This window comes from Homo sapiens, chromosome 3 (genome assembly GCF_000001405.40).
Source record: "Homo sapiens chromosome 3, GRCh38.p14 Primary Assembly".
Taxonomy (NCBI): domain Eukaryota; kingdom Metazoa; phylum Chordata; class Mammalia; order Primates; family Hominidae; genus Homo; species Homo sapiens.
In genome coordinates, this window is record NC_000003.12 from 59572981 (window position 1) to 59593700 (window position 20720).

Consider the following 20720-nt stretch of genomic DNA (forward strand, 5'->3'; position numbering starts at 1 on the left):
AATGAGAGGCCTGGCCAAACACTGCTGGGTTTTCTCTGTGTTCAGTGGATCTTTTTCCCCATTGTTCACCAGCACAGTGTCCTGTTCATTTCCTTTAAAGCATATCTTCCAATTTGTAACTATTTTACTTACTTTACCTGTTTGCATTCTGTGCCCTTCCCTTGCCCCCACCAGAATGTAAACTCCATGAAGGTGGGGTACATGTAGTATGTAATGCAGTCTCCTGGTCTCCCCAGCAGTCTCAGTGCCTGGCCTCCTGTAGACCCTGTGAGAGTGACAGTGCCATTCGCAGGGCCTGTTGGTGGTAGGGATGGGTAGGTGTGAGCAGTCCACCACACCTGAGGGCATGGAAGATGGTCCGCTAGTCCTGCCGTGTTGGGCAGTGGTTTAACACCAAGGCCAACCCCCAGTCTGGCAACTGAACTATTTCATGCTGTTTATCAGCAGTGCCCCTCCTCAGCTCCACGAGCTGCATGGGTCTGTGGTTGAGCTAAGTTTATTCAGTTTCAATAATAAATATAAATAAATATGAAGACTAAATAAATGGATAAGACTTTTGTCCCTTGGTCTTTGTTTTCCTGTTGGTCTCTATCTCTTTCATGTTCTCATATGACTGTACTGACCCATCCCTGATTCTCGCTGGGTTCCTGTTTCCCAGAACCTCCTTCTTTCACTCTAGCCATCACTCATCTGTGATCTCTCAAGTTGGATCCCCATTGTCAGTACCGGGGAGCCTCTGCTTGTGATCATAAGACTCCATCATGTCAATGACCTCTCATGCTCTTGCATTACGGTAGTCCACCCTTATCTTCAGGTGACCATTCCAAGACCCCCAGTGGATGTCTGAGACCACGAATGGTACAAAACCCTGTATACCTATATATACTATATTTTTTTCCTATACATACATGTCTATGATAAAGTTTAATATAAATTAGGCACAGTAAGAAATTAATGACAACAATAATAAAAATGGAACAATTACAACAATATCCCAGCATCACTACTCTTATGCTTTGGGGCTTTTAATAAGTACAATACAGGTTCCGTGAACACAAGCACGCAGTCCCTTGGCAGTCGATCTAATAAACAAACTCGCTGCCAAGTGACTAATGGGCAGGGAGTGTGGACAGTGCAGACACACTGGACAAAGGGAGGATTCACATCCCAGGCAGGACAGAGCAGGATTTCATCACACTCAGAGAGCATGCAATTTAAAATTGATGAATTGTTTATTTCTGGAGTTCTCCATTGAATATCTTCTGACTTCCAATTGACTTTGGGTAACTGGAACCATGAAAGCAAAATTGTGCATAAGGAGTATTACTGTGTTTGGTCTTTCCATGTTAAATTAAGTATTTAGATCAAACATAGGGATTGGAAATGTGAATTCTGGAGCCAGGCAGCCTGGGTTCAAGTCCCAGCTCCACCAGTGGCAAGCTAGAAATCCTTGTGTAAGCTGCTGGGACTGTCTGTGCCTCAGTTTTCTCACCTGTAAAATAAGGATAGTAATTGTATCTTCTTCAGAGAGTTGTTGTAAGGATTAAATGCCTTAATCCATGAAAACACATGTGACAATGCCTGGCATATGGTAAGTGCTCAACATGGGTCAGCTTCTGTATGGTCTACACATTAATGCATTTGGCTCAGAAGCAGTCTCCTAGAGTCCTCTTCCTAGGTGCTAAGAGCCTTCCATTGTGTGTGAGGCTTTCTCTGTGTTGAAATGTGTGTTTAAAATAAGGACTTGGGCCGGGCGCGGTGGCTCACGCCTGTAATCCCAGCACTTTGGGAGGCCGAGGTGGGCGGATCACGAGGTCAAGAGATCGAGACCATCCTGACTAACACGGTGAAACCCCGTCTCTATTAAAAATACAAAAAATTAGCCGGGCGTGGTGGCGGGCGCCTGTAGTCCCAGCTACTCGGGAGTCTGAGGCAGGAGAATGGCGTGAACCCAGGAGGCGGAGCTTGCAGTGAGCCGAGATCGCGCCACTGCACTCCAGGGTGACAGAGCGAGACTCCGTCTGAAAAAAAATAAAAAATAAAATTAAATAAAATAAGGACTTGACAAGAGCTGCTCACTGCCCAGGAGAGGTGGAACCTGGCGCAGTAAGCCCTGGGGTTGGACAGCATCTCTGTTCACCCAGCTCAGTGGGGGTGGCCCCTGCCTCAATTCCTGGTGGGCTGCATTGTCTCACACATGGTGGAGGCCCTGGGGAGAGGAAGGGACATAGCCAAGGAGACCTGGAGCCTGTGGCGGCCTAAGCCTCCAGCAGAGGCCAGAAGGCAACAGGCTTTGATGTGCTGCCAGGCTAAGAATGGGGCAAAATGCCAAGGAACAGAGTGATTGGCACCTCAGGCCTGCTGTCTCTGAATTATCATCTGCTTCTAGAGTTGCAAAGGCAGGTGTTGTCCTGAGAGACAGGCAGGGACAGATGCCACACATGCAGGAGCATGGCAGACGGATTCAAGCTGTGACCCTCCAGAGACCACAGTGATGGCTGGGTCCTCCATGCCCCCTTGGATCTCAAACCACCGGGCAGGTGACTGTCAGCCTTCCTGCACCTTTACCACCCCCGTAGTTACGGGTCTGTGGGCAGCTTCTCCCGAGCAGTTCTCCGAGTGGCCAGCAGATGGCGGAATTTCTCTTGTGTTCCAGACAGAGGCTTTCAATTGGCGTAGCATTTCCACTGCTGAGAACCAGGGAGAATTAAGTACTGGTAACATTTTGAAAATAAAATGTAGCAGGCAAAATACCTTGGAGACCACAAATTGGGAGAGCCTTTTAATTTTTTTAATTTTTCAGAAAAAAGATGAAATATACATTAGAATTTACAAAACACTTTTATATTCATCATCTCACCGTAAAAAGGGAAAAGATGAAAATCAGTTTTAACCCCCTTTTGGAAAACAGGTAGGCTGCAGCTGAGTCTTCCATCTGCATGATTGTTAGACTGTAAATTGGATCACTCGGTGCTAGTATGTGACAATATTATTATTGCTGTAATGATATTGATAATGAGAATATCAGAAATAATAGCTGCTATTTATTAAATGCCACTATGGGCTAAGCATTTTACATGCATTATCTTGTTTAATCCATAGAATAACAACACGATGCAGGGATACACAGTGATTTACTGTTGAATCTTGAGACTATAGCAGCAGCCTCGTGCTTATTGTCCCAGAAGTAACTCAGCATCACCAGACAAAAGCCACCAAGAGTTAACTCACAGCGGGATTCGTCCTCTCAAATAAAAACATGCCAACCTGTCCCTTTTGCTTAGAATTTAATTCTGCTACTATTTTCCTCTGTCCTGCTTAGCAGAACATACTACATATTACATTAATAATAACAGCAACAATAATAACAACTATCATTTATTCAATGCCTAGTATGTGCCAGGTGCTATTCTAAGAAAATCTTAAAACCTCACAGCAGCATTACTGGGTAGGAACTTTTAATCACCACTTTACTGATGAGGGAAATAAAGCCCAGAGAGGTCTGGCAGTACTTCTAAAGTCACACAGCTAGCAAACAGCAGTTAACTCCAGGGGTGGGAATCTGTCACTAAGTTAATGGCCCTCGTGTCTTAATTGTCTGAATGAATTTCCTACTGTATATTCCTTGGTTTCATCCCAGCGTCATCATTAGTCTGACGTTCTGCTTGTAAGAGCATTTTCTTGATGTTCCATTCTTTGCCTCCATGGGATTTTTTTTTTTTATGGTGAGTTTTGCCTCTGAGCTTGTGTCCATGCTAATTCCAAACCAAAAATACAGTCCCAGTTGGTGAGTCCAGATTGGTGGTAGGGACACACTCCATATCCCAAGATAACCCTGTATTTCTAAATTATTGGAGGGATTTGACTGTTTGGCAGAGCAAATGGGCATGCAAGATGTTCATCTCAGCAGAGTTATTTTACGTCTTTTTTGAGTGTGTCTCTTTTCTCTGGCTCAGAAGAAAGGGCACTGTAGGATGACTATAACTAACAGTAATTTATTATATATTTTAGATAGCTAGAAGAGAGGCTTTTGAATATCCCCAACAGAAAGAAATGATTGATGTTTGAGTTGATGTATGTGAATTATCTTGATTTGACCTCTATACATCGTACATATTGTAACTTCATGTTATACCCCATAAGTATGTACAATTATTATTTATCAATTAAAAATAAAATAAAAAGAAGCAAAGGGCACTTTGCTTCCTTCCTCAGCAGGTGTCTCATGGCCAGCACTGGCCGGAGTGTCACAGTTCTGAAGCCTTAACTTAGATCTCTCTCTGTTGTTCTCTCCCCCTCTCCCCTCTCTCCTTTGTCCCTACTCCACTTTCCTTCCTCTCTTGTGTGCTCTATTTCCAGACACACTTTTGGGTACCCCATTTGGATGAGAAAATACAGGTTAGGTGTACATATCAGCTTCCTGTGTGCTGTCAAACTTTCTTTATAACATTTGGATTTTGGAAGTGCCTCATGGGTGTATAGGATGGATTTTTGCCAGAAGGGCTTATTTTCAGGCCTCGTGAATACCTCTATCAGGTGAAGACAGCTGTCTCTTAACAACTCAAGTAATAGTGCCTGAGGCCTGGTTAGAAATCCTGTTGCCTCTGCAAATGGGACTGTGGCTGGTATCTGGGTTCCCCGTTCTCAGCCTTCACATCCCAGTTCCCAAAAGTCTCAATTCCCAAGGCTCAGGTGGACCACTTCCTTCCTTTCTGCTGCCAGAGAAAGACATCCTGTTTTAGGGGCTACCCTCCAAGTCAGGAGCTGCCATCAGTACTCAGAGGGTAGTACCAGCTGCAGAATGCATTTCAGAGCTCAGGGAGCCTTGAGGCAGGACAGGCTGGAGGTTTCCTGCAGTCAGTTTACCGGGAGAACGTTTTCAGAGTGGGGTCTGTGGAATGTTATTGGCTACCACATGTACATAGGCATACGTGCGCTCTCTCTCCCTCTTTTTCTTTCTCTTTTTTTCTCTCTCTCTCTCTCACTCTGTCACACACACACACACACACACACACACACACACAGTCACACTGCTACAACCAGGATACAAAATGGTTCCCTGGCTGAGCAAGCCCCGGGAACATTGGATTAAACTGTTTTCTCTCAAAGGTCTTAATTCTAAAAAAGGGTCACAGCTTGGAGGGTTTTCTACATTTTTTTAGGCCAAGGAGTCTCTTCTGGCAGACCATGTCATGGGGCTGGTCATCTGTGGAACACACTTTTGGAAACTCCACACTTGAGATATAGTTGTAAGTGCTAGTTCTTGTCTAAAGGCAGAAAAGTACCTCTTTGCCAAACACCCAGCTCAGCCCTTGAGGAGGGAGGCAACGGGATGTAGCTGTGCTGTGTGCCACTCCCTTGGAATGAGCAATGCCCAGGCAAGACCAGGCCTCTGTGTCAACAACCCATTACTCTCTTTTGTGCACACTTCTCAGTGTGGGCTTCAGTCCCCACCCTCCATGTTTTTCCTAGGGGTCCACAAGTTCACTCTGTGAGTCATTGTCACTTAACCTCAGGGTAGCTTTTGGGGCTGGCCTTATCTTCTGAGAGTTCCCATTTTGGCAGATCTTCTGAGCTCTTCCACCAGCATCATGGTCTCCATGTATGCCTGGATGCAGCTCTTCTAATGAGACTGATCCCCAAAGCTTGGAAACCTCCATGGTACTAGTCTGGCACTGCCAGCACCATACCATGGTGTTCCTCCCAGAGCAGGGCAGTACTGACACTCAGGACATTACTGGGATTGAATATCAGACACCATGACTTCCTTTGTATGGCCCTGCCCATGCCTCTCTGTCCTCAGGCCACTTCAGGCCCTGCGGACCAGATACTTCTTGCCTCCCTGCAAATCTTTCATGAAAAAAACAGCCCCGCTATAACAGGGCTACAAAAGGCAAAGGTAGCAGTCTAGTTTGGGGTCTTCTTAGAAGCAGTAGGTTTGGGGATTGGGTTGGGGGAGGCCTCTAACATCTTAGCCCAGCATCTTGGGACAGTGGATGTTACTACCTCATGACTGTTGTTAACCTGACCTTTCCTACATCTGCCCTAATACAGAAACTAGGACTCTGTATCTCATCTCTGTCATCCTACAGTGAGGTGAATGCAGAGATCCTGCACTGATGTGAAGCCCATCTGGGATCTCTAGACACAAGGCCACCGGCATGAGCATGGCAGCCCAGGGAGAATACAGATGGTGTACCTCTATGCCAAACGGATCAGAATGCTTCATACATGTAGCACAGATTAAAGGCTCCAATGACACCTTGAGTCAGGATTTTAGGAAATGAACAGAGATTCTAAGTCTCTCAAAAGCCACTCCAGACATAAAAACAAAATACAATAAATTATCCTAGACTGGAACCTTTACTAAAGGGAAAATATTGGCCAAAGGGCATCATCCTAACAATTGCCAAAGTTAGAGAATGCACTGTAGGTTACATAAAAATGGTACCTCAAAGGTAAATTTCCTGAATGTGATAAATGCACTGTGGTAACGTAAGAGAACATCTTTATTCTTAGGAGGCATACCCTGAAATATTAAGAGGTTAAGGGACATAAAATATGCAACCTACTCTCAGTAGTTCATAAAAAATACTAATAAATATCTACAAGATAAATTCTTTAAAATTCATTAATCTGGGTGAAGAATACATTATTTTTGTATTTATTTGTCACATTTTTCTGTAAGTTTGAAAATATCTCAAATATTATCCAAGGGGGTAGTTGTTTAGAGATGAATTTCATCTCTGTGATGTAAAACATGCAAAAATATATCCCAAAACCAAGACCTGCAGAAACTGAGTTGGATATTTGCCCTGGTCTCCTTAGCCCAGGGGTCCCAGTGCTCCATGAGGCCACTACCCGGAGCTAGATGAAAAGCCAGGCCTCCTGAACTGGTCCTTGATGGGGGATCTTAGCCTTTTCTCCCTTTAGAGGAGTTGATGGCCAGATGTGGGGAATTCTGGCTGAAAGTAGAGGCATAAATGCAAAGATAGCACAACACTATTTTGGTGAAAGTTGGGAAGTCTTTTTGCTTCACCTAACAAGGTCTGCATGTTTTTATGAATGCTAACCTTATTACAAGGTATATGAACTCCAACCTGGCATTCATAGATCCCCAGAGCCCATGATAATGACTCAAAGGCATGCTACAAAGTAAATGATCAAATTCTATGATCATTTGTTGCCCCATAATTAGAAACTGGCCATCCAGGTATTTCCCCCAATGGTGCCTCTGACCTGCACCCAGACAGACCTATGACCTGTGAGCTGCTGTCCCCACTTGCCTCCCCCATCACCCAGCTCTCCCAGCACTTAGTGCCCAACCACTGGGTGGAAACTTCCAGTCTTCAGGATCCACCTTGACAACTCCAACAAGTCTGCTTCTGTGTGTTCCTCAGGCTGTCAGCAGCAGGGGTGACAGAGTATAGGGGGGCACCATGAAGTGGTGAAAAGAGCCTCTCCTCCATAGCCTGTCACATTTTGTCGCTCAGACCTCAAGGCCACCCTGTTCACACCCGGAGTCTCCCCATTTATCCTAGGAACTGCGATTCTGCTTTGAGCTGAAATGTTGCCAAGCCTCACATGTAAAAAAATAAATAAATACACAAATAAATCAAAATGAAACAGAAAAAAGACACAAGGATTCTGTCTGCCTGTCACCCCTATGACTGTACAGTCTCAAACTCAGTGCATGATGCCTGCTGAGAGACAAACCTAACACTTTCTGCTTCATCCCCTAGTACTTCCCCCAACCCAGATTTTTCTTTGTCGCTGTATATGAAACAAAAACCTGCTCTGCATATTAGTGGATTTAAACAGCTCTCAGGAGATGATGGTAGAGTAGAAATATTACCAGAAGTTGTAGCTGTTCCAACCAAGTGAGCACCTTTTTTGTGTCTGGCTCAGTGCTGAGTGCTTTATGTGATTTATCTCATTCAGTACTTCTAATCATTAAGTTCTATGTCATCCCCATCTCTCAGATGAAGAAACCAGGAAGTTAACTGATGTGTTCAAGATCTCACAGTTAGCAAGAAGTGGAACCTGAACAATTGTCTGGACACATCTGACTCCAAAGTCCATATTCTTCACCCACTGTATGATTTTGCTCCCCTCCCTGTAAACTATGGAACTGATGTGGGGCTGGGTGTTTTCTTCTAGCGTTTGGACTCTAGCAAAGGCTGCCCTGCCCAAAATGACCTGTTCCCCAGAATTTCTACAGGGAGAGGCTATAATACCTTTATGAGTCATATTTACCTACACTAATGACTGTTAACAATATTAAAGCTGAAACTTTAAAAACGAGTCAACTTGCAATAATCTAATGGAAGCCAGAACATACCTAACTCATTCCCATTTTAGATTTGACTTTGGGATACATTGAGTATTTTGAAAATGACAGACTCCTCTATTTTCTTGGCTCCGGGTGATTAGACTGAGTTTGCCTTCTGTGGGTTCCCCTGAGTCAAAGGAAAGAGAGGTAGCTCAGAAGCATATTGCATCACCAAGAAAAGTTGGTCTGAGAGTGAACATCTATAACAGAAAGCCCAGAATGTGAATTATTCAAAATTAGACAATATAGATTGCACATGCTTCTTGTTAAATAGATTTCAGGTGAGGAACTTGTTGCTTCTCTGTGCAGTTGAGTTCCTCATCCATGCCCAAAAATATAGGTAGAATTTATGTTCTGACAGATGCTTATTTATCCCGTTTTGTACCCATAATCTACACTTGTCTTAATTTCCTCTCAATTATGCTCAGGCATTAACTAATAATGACTAACTACAACCCCAGATAATTATTGCTATCTGTTCCCTTTGTAAATATAACTCCAGCACAGAGCTAGAAGAATAATGGCATATTTACAGAAGGCAGCTAATTAAACTGAGTTCCAATTGCTTTCACTTTGCCAGAAGGAGCCATTTTCACAGCAAAAATTGGGTGGATGCTTGCATGCTTACCAGGAACAACCTGAGGTAACATAATTCAGGGTTCCCGAGGCAAAAATTCAGTGCAAGACAAATATACACAAGCAATAAAAATCTCATTAAGGAAGATATGAAGATTGTTTTACCATAGTCCAACCATTAAAAGGGGGTATCATTTTGGTGGGTTTATTTAAGGAATAGTATATATTTCATTGTTTCATAATGGAAGTAATTGCAAAGGACTCTTAGACAATCCTTGAAGAACATTTTTGTCTTCTGTTTGAATCTTTCTTTTCTAGTTTATGAAACTACTTCACCATCTTTAGCCTCATCATTTCTAAACTTTCTAACAGATCTGAGCATTGTTAAGCCCAATACCCAAAATTGTGAAAGTCCAAACACCCACCCTCACCCCTTCTCCTCCATCTGCTCCTCATTTATTTCAGGAATTTGGTCTTAAGCACAACATGATCTTTCATATAGAGTATGGATGCTTCTGTGGTGTGATTTCTGGAGTTTAACTGAACTCATTAGCAACAGTCACACGAATGCAAGTTCCTCTGACAAACTTGGATTGGAAAGCATGTCTTCAGTTTTCTTTCTCTTCTGGGTTTATAGGTTATTCAAACCCAAACCAAACAAACACCTTCCTGAAATAACAACAGAAAAGGAACCCGACACCTTGCATTGTAAAGATGCCAGATGTTGTCTTGTATTAGTCTGTTTTCACGCTGCTGTTAAAGACATATCTGAGACTAGGTAATTTATAAAGATAAAGAGGGTTAATGAACTCACAGTTCCATGTGGGTGGGGAGGCCTCAAAATCATGGTGGAAGGCTAAAGGCATGTCTTACATGGCGGCAGGCAAGAGAGAATGAGAGCCAAGTGAAAGGGAAAACCCCTTATAAAATCATCAGATCTCCTGAGACTTATTCACTACCATGAGAATAGTATGGGGGAACCGCCCCCATGATTCAATTATCTCCCACTGGGTCCCTCCCAAAACACGTGGGAATTACAGGAGCTACAGTGCAAGATGAGATTTGGGTGGGGACACAGCCAAACCATATCTCATCTCTAAAGGAAGAATGTGTCTTCCTTGTCCTAGCTTTAGGAGAGAAACTCAGGAACGTTTTAGTGCATACTTACCTGGATTATTTAAACAATATTTTCAGTTGCAATGCTTTGCTGTGTTTCTGGATGCTGTGCTGAGTTTTCTTCCTGCCTGTGTGCAATTTCTGAATTCATTTCTATCTACTGGAAGTAGTGATTTGGCAGGCATCAGCACTTTTTCCATGTTTAATTAATTCCTCTAATTTTGTGGTAAATGAGAATAATGGGACTTAATTTTGCTATTTATGTAAAATTGATTGGTAATTATGGGGAGCACAGGAGATTTGGCTTTACAAACAAAAATTAAGTGACCTCTCCATCATGGTTCCTTGGCATGCCTCATTCACTCATCAGGGAAAAGCAGAAATGGCAGCAGAGCAGATGCTGGAGGGAGACGAGGGCAGGTTTTGACTTTTGCAGAAGTTGGAATATGGAAATGTGCAGGGTCTTGTTGAAAAGTCCAAATGAACTCAAGCCAGAATCATTCAGAAGATAAGATGTATAGGACAGAAACCTGTTTAACTGTTTTTATTATGTCATATTTGGCATGATTTGATCACCTAATTTCAATATATTCCTATCTTTTGTGTTCTGACCAAACCAGGGATGGTTGGCAGGAATAAGGTCTCTTCCTAGAGGTGCTTTATGTTAAAGGAAGTTCTCATAAGATGTGGTCTCAAGACAGAAGGTTTTTACAATTATTAATTTCTCTCTTGAAACTGGATGTAGCTCCAGATCTCTGATTCTTGGTAAATGATACTTACATTGTAAAAACTAGTTTGTTATAGGTTGATATCTAGACTTAAATGATGTCTACATGTCTATGTCTGTATCTGTCTCTATAAGTGCCTCTCTACACACACACACACACACACACACACACACACACACAGAAATTTTGCTTTCAACTCAAGGAGTCTTGGATAAGAAGACAACATACATGAAAATTATTATCATCCCTAAGTATTAAGATTTAGTTATTACCATGATGGAATTTATTTTTAAAGAAATGTAGGCCAGGTACGGTGGCTCACGCCTGTAATCCCAGCACTTTGGGAGGCCGAGGTGGGTGGATCACGAGGTCAGGAGTTCAAGACTAGCCTGACCAACATGGTGAAACCCCATCTCTACTAAAAATACAAAAATTAGCCAGGCATGGTGGCGCATGACTGTAATCCCAGCTACTCAGGAGGCTGAGGCAGGAGAATCACTTGAACCCAGGAGGTGGAGATTGCATTGAGCTGAGATCGTGCCACTGCACTCTAGCCTGGGTGACAGAGCGAGACTCTGACTCAAACAAAAAAAAGTGGCCGAGCTCAGCGGCTCAAGCCTGTAATCCCAGCACTTTAGAAGGCTGAGGTGGGTGGATCACCTGAGGTCAGGAGTTCGAGACCAGCCTGGCTAACATGGTGAAAGCCTGTCTCTACTAAAAGTAATAAAAAAAAAAAATTAGCTGGGTGTGGTGGCAAGCATCTGTAGTTCCAGCTACTTGGGAGGCTGAGGCAGGAGAATCGCTTGAACCTGGGAGGCGTAGGTTGCAGTGAGCTGAGATTGCACCATTGCACTCCAGCCTGGGTGACAAGAGCAAAACTCTGTCTCCCAAAAAATAAATGAAAATTATTTTGAATGATTTTGTTTTCCTTCTTTTTGGCACCATCAAAATTCAGTTCCTTGATGGGCAACATTCAATCTTCTGGCTAGATGACAAGCAGTTCTGGTAGGGTTGTCATAAAGAAAAAGAGGCCGGAGGTTGCAGTGAGCTGAGATCATACCACTGCACTGCAGCCTGGGCTACAGAGCTGGAGTGAGACTCCATCTCAAAAAAAAGAAAAAGAAAAAGAGACAAATCATGCCCCATTACTGTGCCAGTAGCATAGCATAGACATTCTCAGGTGAAATCAAAGAGACATTACATCCTGGAAGCTGATGTCCAACTTCAAAGACTTGATAAAATGAATTCTTGTGATTTAGCCACACAGAGCTATGGAAAATTATGGACAATATCTCAATTAGTTGATACTTATTACCTACATATTATAACTGTTTATTTGAGGAGCCTGGACAGTAATAGCTGAAATTTTCAAAACTATTACTTAGAAATAATAAGAAATTATTACTTTGAAATAAGATGTGTTTATCTCAGTACCACCCTTCATGGGGATCAGATTTTACCTTATAATGGAATAGACAGGAATATCTGGCAGTATTAATATTCATTTTCCGCCAAGATATTTTTTTCTTCAATAAAGTAATTCACTTGATCTGTGCTTTGTAAATCAATGCAGAGTTTCAGAAAGATTCACATTTAAGAAAGCTTTTGCCTTGGCTAAAACAAGAGCAGAGTGCCCAGAACATAAACACTAGCAACAGGTTCTGCCCTGGGTTGGTAATTTCCCGCCTGTGACCCATTTGGAATCAGATCATCAGGGATCAGACTCAGCATTCTACGTGCCTTACAACATTCCATCCATTGAGGTTTAAGGTGGAAAATAGAGTTGAGACAACAAAGAGGCCTAGGGGATCAATTGCAAATATCACTGCATAATGAATAATATTTCCCTAATTTTTTTTTGTATTGATTCTACACCTATGGTCTCCCAAAACAGTTCTGATAACTTTAAAACTCAGAGGCTCATACTGCCTTCCTGGAAAAGAGATTCAAAGTACCCAGGCAAAAACCCAAATTCATTCTTTCAGATTTATTTTTCTTTCAAAAACCTACTTTCTGGTAAATCAAATCAGATAATCATTTCTGCTTGTTAAAACTATTAAATCAGGAGGTTTGGGGATAGTAGCAACAGTGGCAGCAAAATGTTTGCGTCTTCCTGAATCTTCACATAGAATCAGACTGAAAGACTACTCAGCAAAACCAAAGCTCATGGTTTCCGAACAAAGCAAGGTGACAGGGTATACCTCAAACCTCAAAATGCAACCCAGTATCAGCATTTGTCTAACAGAAAACAGAGGAAAGCAATGGGCATCTGACAGACCAAAGAACAGGAGAACCCAAAAGAGCCAACAGACACTAGCTGGAATGCACAGCAGGCGGATTTCAAAGTGGCAGCAAAAACGGGGAGGGGTTTTGCTGCATCCCATAACAGATGAGTGCCTGTCAGGTCTTAAGGAGCTGGGGCAGTCTTATCTGCATGAACTCTCCACTCTGACTTCCCAGGGTCCCTCCAGGACAGGACTCTGCACCAACGAGAAACTGTTGGGAGTTGAATCAAAATTTAGCAGTACAGGGACAATAGATACAACAGAAAAACAAGATCTGGATAAAAATAGGAGAGAGGAACAGATACAAAGAATCTCAAAAACAGGCCACCGTATTTTTAATACTACGTGAAAACAACTGAAAAGAGAGTTCTATTAAGTAAAAGAAATCTTCTCTGAACCAAGCTTTCTTCTAAAAGTTCAAGGAGAGTAATTTTACATAGATATGAGCGAAAGAAAAGTATCCAGGTCAAATCCCATACAAAATTATTATAACAAAGAAAGAGAATAAATGGTAGAAGATATCCTTATACAGGATGAAAACATTCCAGAGATAGATACTCAAAAAACAAAGATAAAAAATTGGGACATTCTGTTTTTTTTTAAAAAAAAGTCTAAAATATGTTGAGAAAATGATATAAGATATGAAAAAAACAAATCAAAATTAAAAATATTCAAATTAGGTGACAAAGCTCAAGGAATTAAAATAAAAATAAAAAGTCATTTAAAAAATAGTGGCTAAACTAGAAGGAACAAAGGAGTAAATAAACACAATATAATGCCTTAAGAAAAATGGAAGATAAAAGGAGGGAATTTTTTAAAATCAAAAAGAAATGAAGAGATAAAAAGGATTCACATTAAATTGACAAATATTGAAGAGGCAAAGAAGATCCAGTATATAGATAATGGGAGTTTGTGAGAAAGAAAACTGAAGCAAGGAAGAAGAACAAATCTAAAAATATAATTAAGAATTTTATCCTGGAGTTAAAAATTTTTAAAGTGCATATTGTGAAAGACATTTTTTCAATATCAACCAATAGCGAGATATAGCCCAATAAAATGTCTGAACTTTTTTTAAAAATGGAAAATAACATTTGAGCATCCTAACAAAGAGAACCCTTGACTTACAAGGGAAAGAATATCAGATGTCATCAGACTATTTGACAGCAACATTTTACTTCAGAAGAAAATGGAATTAAGAAGGCATAAGGAAAGTCATCATCCACCACAATTGACCTTCTAGTGTAAAGGGCATAGACAGTCATCAGTATCCAAATTGGAAAGAAAAGTCACATTAGCCTTGTTTGCAGATGACATGGTCTTATACCTAGAAAAAACTAAAGACTCCACCAAAAAAACCTGTTAGTACTGAAAAACAAATTCAATAAAGTTGCAGGATACAAAATCAACTTACAAAAATCAGTAACATTTATATATAACAATATCAAACAGTCTGAAAATAAAAAGAAATCTCATTTACAATAGCTACAAAAATATATAAAATAACTAGGAATCAAGCTACTCAAGGAAGTGAAAGACCTACAAAAGGAAAAGTACAAAGCTCTGGTGAAAGAAATTCAAGAGGACACAAAAAAGTGGAATGATATTTCATGCTCATGGATTGAAAAAAGTAATATTATTAAAATAAGGATACTACCAAAAGCAATTTACATATTCACTGCAATCCCTATTGAAATATTAATGACATTCTTCACAGACATAGGGAAAAAAATCCTAAAATTTATATGGAACCACAAAAGACTCTGAAGAGCCAAGGCAATCCTGAGCAAAAAGAGCAAAGCTGTAGGCATCATACTACCTGACATCAAATTTACTATAAAGCTATAGTAACCAAAACAGCATGGCACTGATGTAAAAAGAGACACATAGACCAGTGCAACAGAATAGAGAACCTATATATAAATCCACACATTCACAGCCAACTCATCTTTGACAAAGGCACCAGAAACATATAATGGAGAAAGGGCAGTCTTTTCAATAAATAGGGGTAGAAAAACTGGATAACTATTATACAGAAGGAAACTATATATTGTAAATGAAAATCTAATCAATAGATTAAAAGACTTAAATCTAAGGCCTGAAACTATGAAAGTACTAGAAGTAAACATTGGAGATATATTCCAGGACACTGGTCTGGGCAAAGGTTTTTTGTGTAAGACCTCAAAAGCACGGCAACCAAAGAAAAAATAAGTGGGATTACCTCAAGCTGAAACACTTCTGCACAGCAAAGGAAACAATCAACGAAGAAAAGAGACAACCTGCAGAATGGGAGCTAGTATTTGCAAACTATGCATCCAACAGGGATTAATGACCAGAGGAGTTCAAACAACTCAGTAGCAAAAGGAACAGTCTAACTTAAAAATGAGAAAAAGATATGAACAGACATTTATCAAAAGAATACATATAAATGGCCAACAAGCATGTGAAAAAATGTTCATCGCTAGTTGTCAAAGAAATGCAAATCAAAACCACAATGAGATCTCATCTCACCCCAGTTAAAATGACTTGTGTCAAGAAGACAGACAATAACAGATGCTGGTGAGGATGTGGAGAAAGGGGAACCCTCATATACCTTTGGTGGGAGTGTAAAACAGTTAAGTACAGCCATTGTAGAGAACAGAGTGGAGGTTCCTCAAAAAACCAAACAAAGAGCTACCGTATGTTCCAGCAATTCTACTACTGGAGAAAAAGAAAAAAAAAATATATATATATATATATTTGTGTGTATATATGTGTGTACACACACACACACACACATATATATATATATACTTTTTTTTTTTTTTTTGAGACAGCGTCTTGCTCTTTAGCTCAGGCTGGAGTGAAGTGGTGCCATCTTGGCTCACTGCAACTTCTGTCCCCCTGGGTTCAAGCAATTCTCCTGCCTCAACTTCCCAAGTAGCTGCCTCAGCCTCCCATGTAACAGGCCAGACGTGATGGCTCATACCTATAATGCCAGTGCTACTGGGAGGCCGAGTTCAGGTGGATAGCTTGAGCTCAGGAATTTGAGACAAGCCTGAACCACTGCACTCCAGCCTGGGCAATAGAGCGAGATTCTGTCTCTAGAAATCAAAAACAAAAAAAGGTAGCAGTGGTAAATGTTATGTGTGTATTTTACCACAATTTAAAAAATTAAGAAAAAGGAAAAAAATAAATAGAAATGTAAGATTTCAGGGGTTACCTTTCCCATTCTCTCTCTCTTTTTTTTTTTTGTCAAGGAATCTAGTAGAGAATTGTCTTCAGATTACCAAAATGACTAGAGACCTCAATGTTAGAACTGGCAGTAGGCACTAAATGTATTGTGGCAGTACTTGTGTGTCTATGACTAAGAAGAGAAAGATTCTGGTAAGTAATGCTTGTATGATTTGAGAATGCAGACATAGTACCACAATAAAATGAGGAGAAAGATGGGAGAGCATATGTAAAAAATGTTCTATAGTCAGGAATCATTATTGATGGCTTTAGTGTTGTTATTCCAAGACTCATGTATGTATACAAGTGTAATGTAGGAAAATTAAAGTAAATTTCTTAAGCTCCCAAATTTGAATTAAAAATATCATTATGAATTCATGATATATTTAGACGTTGAGCATTGATGACTTCTACATTCAAAAAAAAGCGAAAAACAAGACATGATGCGTCTCCAGGTGAAACAACCCAGTACCACCATTAGTCTTGCCAAAAGCATCAAACTTGAATGTAATTAAGCCTCTTGATCCAGTTGTTAGTTTGCAAGAAATACCAAAGAGAGAGGCTCATGTTGAATTGTCTGTGTGTGCAACCAGTAAAATCCAGACTGCAGGAAACTCTACATGTATGGCACAGGTTCTTCAACAAATACATAGTAAGGGGAAAACATGGTTGGAGGGAAAAATATCTCAACTAGAATACCTTCTTCACCTTGCATTTATATTGGAAGAATAATAGAAGAATTTAAGAATTGCCTTAAAACTCCTGAAATTTCTTAAACAATTGGTTGTATGATAAGAAAATGTAGGGAAGATTTGAGGATTCAACTCATGGCCATGATAGCAATAGCTATTATGCATGGAAAGCCTACCATGTATCTGGTACTGTAATAAGAACCTTCAATGTATTAGCTCTAATCTTTATAGCAATATAGCAATTCTGTGAAATAGTAAATATAATCCCCATTTTACAGTTGAGAAAATAGAAGCACTGACAGGTTAAGAAAATTTCACAAGATAATTAATACATAGCTGAGTCAATGGGCTAACCCAGGCCGGTGGACTTCATAGCTCATAATTTTTAACTACATTGTATAAAAAATTAACTTGAAAATGTGTATTAAGAAGCCTATGTTGTAACCTTAATGCTATCATTTGGGAACTTAAAAAGGTTGTGTTAATAAATCTTTTGTTACAGTTCAGACATAAAGCTAAAAAGGATGGTGTGGGATTTAGCATTAGCCAAATGGTATTGGCATCTAATCATCAGCGTATCAGAGAGAATTTATATTGGACATTAATTTTTGGCTCTGTAGAGATGTCATATTTTTGAACTCTTATTCTATGCTTTGAGAATTGTCAAGCACTGCTTCTAAACATTTTATCACTTTCAGTCTTATTTTGCATCTCTCATTTTATGGAAATTTTGTTTAGCAACATACTTAAAATCTTGGTTTCTGATAGAATCAGAACAAGATTTTGATGATGCCCCTGAAGGCAAAGTGAGAAATCATTAAACTGTTATTAGTATTCTATAACTGATCCCTTATACCATGGAGCTAAGCTTCTTGAAGAAAATAACTTCTGAGATGCTGACCCAGTGTAACTGTGTTCTCAGCTTAGCACAGCCCAGATATTTCAAGCATGGTAAACAGGGAGCTGTCTCCAAAATGGCACTGATTTTAGGGAATTTCTCAGTTTGATTGGGCAGCACATACATTACAATCCATTTCACTTCATGATATCTTTATTCAGATGCCACCATGGGAGGTAGCATGATCTTAGAGTAGCATGGACCACCCCAGAGATTTCTGGAGGGGATTGCAATAATAATATTTCAATTTGCTATAAGGCCAAGAGTTTCATGCAGAACCTTTCTCTTTCTTTCTACTTCTTTTCCTGTCTGACTCATTCTCACTCAGCTTAAAGCCCATCTTGAAATGGTGTTAAATCTAATACCACTCTCAGATTTCATCAATCTTTGAAGTTGGCCAGGGCTACGTAGAGTACAAAGGCAAGCAAAAATGGGCCACTATAAATTAGAGATTGGAAAATACCTATTAGAACACCAAGATTCTGACAAAACTTTCCCCTCCAATATACAGGGCTTGAAATTGAACTGGTTTTCTCCTTGGACATGCCTCAAAGAATTCTAACACCTCCTTTGTAGTGGATTGTAATTCCTTGTGCATCCCTTGCTCACATTACCTCCAATTCTTTATTCCTGATTTTTAAATGGAGGTGATAACTTTTGCTGCATTACAAATTTACCAGGATTCCACAATCTGCATGTTGGTGATTTAGTCCCTGTTCTGGAGATTTTAGGATGCTAACAAATTGACGTAAATAAGCTTGGACCCCTGCCAAGGAATATAGCGAGCCACTGAGCAGCTTTTCACATGGAAGGTCAGTGCATTTTTAACAAAATACAGAAAAAAGATGAGCCTTGGGTATGTTTTAGATCCAGGAAAGATGAGGCCAGGGAAAACCGTCTTCCCTCCCTTAGAAGACTTTGTGGAAGAGGGGGATTTTTAGGAATTGCTTAAATGATGGATGAGCTACCACCTGTTTCACAAGGATTCTGTGTTGCTGAATAAAATACTTTCAAATCACTCAGGTATTACTGGAAGAGATACTATACAAATACACAGCCAGATCTGTGTTCGAAGTGGCCCTTTAACTTTGGCCAGCCACTTATTCTTTAAATAATCTAATCTCCTCTTCTGAAAGTTGATTTGTGTATATTTGTACTTTTATATGTGGAGTATCTAATTGTGGTTAATATGGGCAATAATTTTAAGAATGATGTAAAACAAGATCCATAGCATCACTGAAAAATGTGACGGATTTGCACAGTGAAGTGTCTTTGGGATTGATTAAGACTGTTTTGCATGACTTGGTAAAGGTAAAATGTCATCTCTCTTTTCTTCAGACAAATAGATTTGGTTATCTTTTTTTTTTTTTTTTTTTTTTTTTTTGAGATGGAGTCTCACTGTATCACCCAGACTGGAGTGCAGTGGCACAATCTGAACTCACTGCAACCTCCACCTCCCAGTTTCAAGCAATTCTGCCTCAGCCTCCTGAGTAGCCAGGATCGTAGGCATGTGCCACCACGCTCCACTAATTTTTGTATTTTTAGAAGAGACATGGACCTACTCTTAGCACCTACTCTTAGGACCAAATTAGGACCATAACAAAAAAATTTATTGAAAATGATCATATTCTCTTTTACTATAAACTTTCAGACTATAATTTCTTATAGTGGTCTGGTCTTCCTAATTATGTTTGAAATCCTGACTTTTATTTCTTTTTCAATTCTTAGGGGAAACTAATTTAATTAGTAAGTTATCAAAATCTTTTGATCTTTAGTAAGTACTCGTTATGTTGGTACTTTATAAGCTAAAAATAAGAAAAACAACAGGAACCCCTGAAAGATTCAATGAAACTTTCTAATTCTAGACCTAACGTTTGTTGAGTGACTTGAATAAGTCACTTAACATCTCTATGGTTCACCTTCCCTTATGCCCAAAATCTAACAAATCTCTCTCCTCTTATTACCCCAAATGCCAATGGATGGATAAATGAATAGGTGGGTGCAAGGGTGATACATGGATGGATGCACGGTTGGATATGTGGACAGATGCATATTTGGGTGTGTGGACTGATGCATGTTTGGGTGCATGGAAGGCTGGATGGGTAAGTGCATTGATGGGGTGCAGGGTTGGGTGCATGGATGGATTCATGGATTGAAACCTGGTTTAAAGGAAAGGTGGAAGGACATACAAAAGAAAGTGTTTTTATTAAAAAATGAAATTAATTCAACAGAAGAATGAACTGAAATAAAGCTGGAAAAACTGATAAAATTCACAGAAATGTTTCTTTACCCCTGAAAGGAACTACTGTGCCTAAAATACTTTTTAAAATTTTTCAGAAAATGTGTTTGTGCCAAGCTCCATGTTGGATAATATCTCAGATGTTTTCTTTGGTAAGAGGCCTCTATGTTTTATATGGCAGAAACTTTATAGCAAGAGTCGTCCATTTGTATAATAAGATGATTGCAATCCATAGAGACAACCTCCTGCTATTTATCTTACGGTCCAGTCTAGTTCGTCGCTGGGTCTGTAAGGAGAGGTACTGAACATCAGTTTGAAAGGTTCCTCAGAGCATCCAGAGCCCCCTGGTATAGGTAAAGCTAAGCAGGGGAGCCATTGTTGTGTTACTTTGTTTTGTTAGATTAATGATTCTTCTGTTAATATTTAACCTTTTGTCAAATTGTGATGCATAAGGTTGTACATCTAGATCAATACAAATGAATAATGAGACAGGCATATTTTTTTCATCTCATTTATTTTCCTGCTAGTACACAACAGTGTTTTATTGACAGTGTGTTTCACATGGTCCATTATTAATTAAACTTAGAGAAGGACATATCCTTTGCCACATGAAAAGAAACACCAATGTTTCCCTGCTTTGATCT

General features: G+C 40.0%; 1 long non-coding RNA gene across 1 annotated transcript in view, besides 1 other annotated feature; it reads left to right on the plus strand.

The window, feature by feature from the left end:
* The window catches only part of CFAP20DC-DT (CFAP20DC divergent transcript), a 724471-nt gene that overhangs the window by 486141 nt on the left and 217610 nt on the right, over positions 1 to 20720 (plus strand). The gene's annotated exons all lie outside the window — the stretch shown is intronic.
* Positions 2463 to 2757: a silencer, noted in NCBI's record as "tiled region #3507; HepG2 Repressive DNase matched - State 12:CtcfO". NCBI's record gives its function as "represses a minimal TATA promoter and a strong SV40 promoter by Sharpr-MPRA in HepG2 cells {active_cell/tissue: HepG2}" and the evidence as "EXISTENCE:reporter gene assay evidence [ECO:0000049][PMID:27701403]".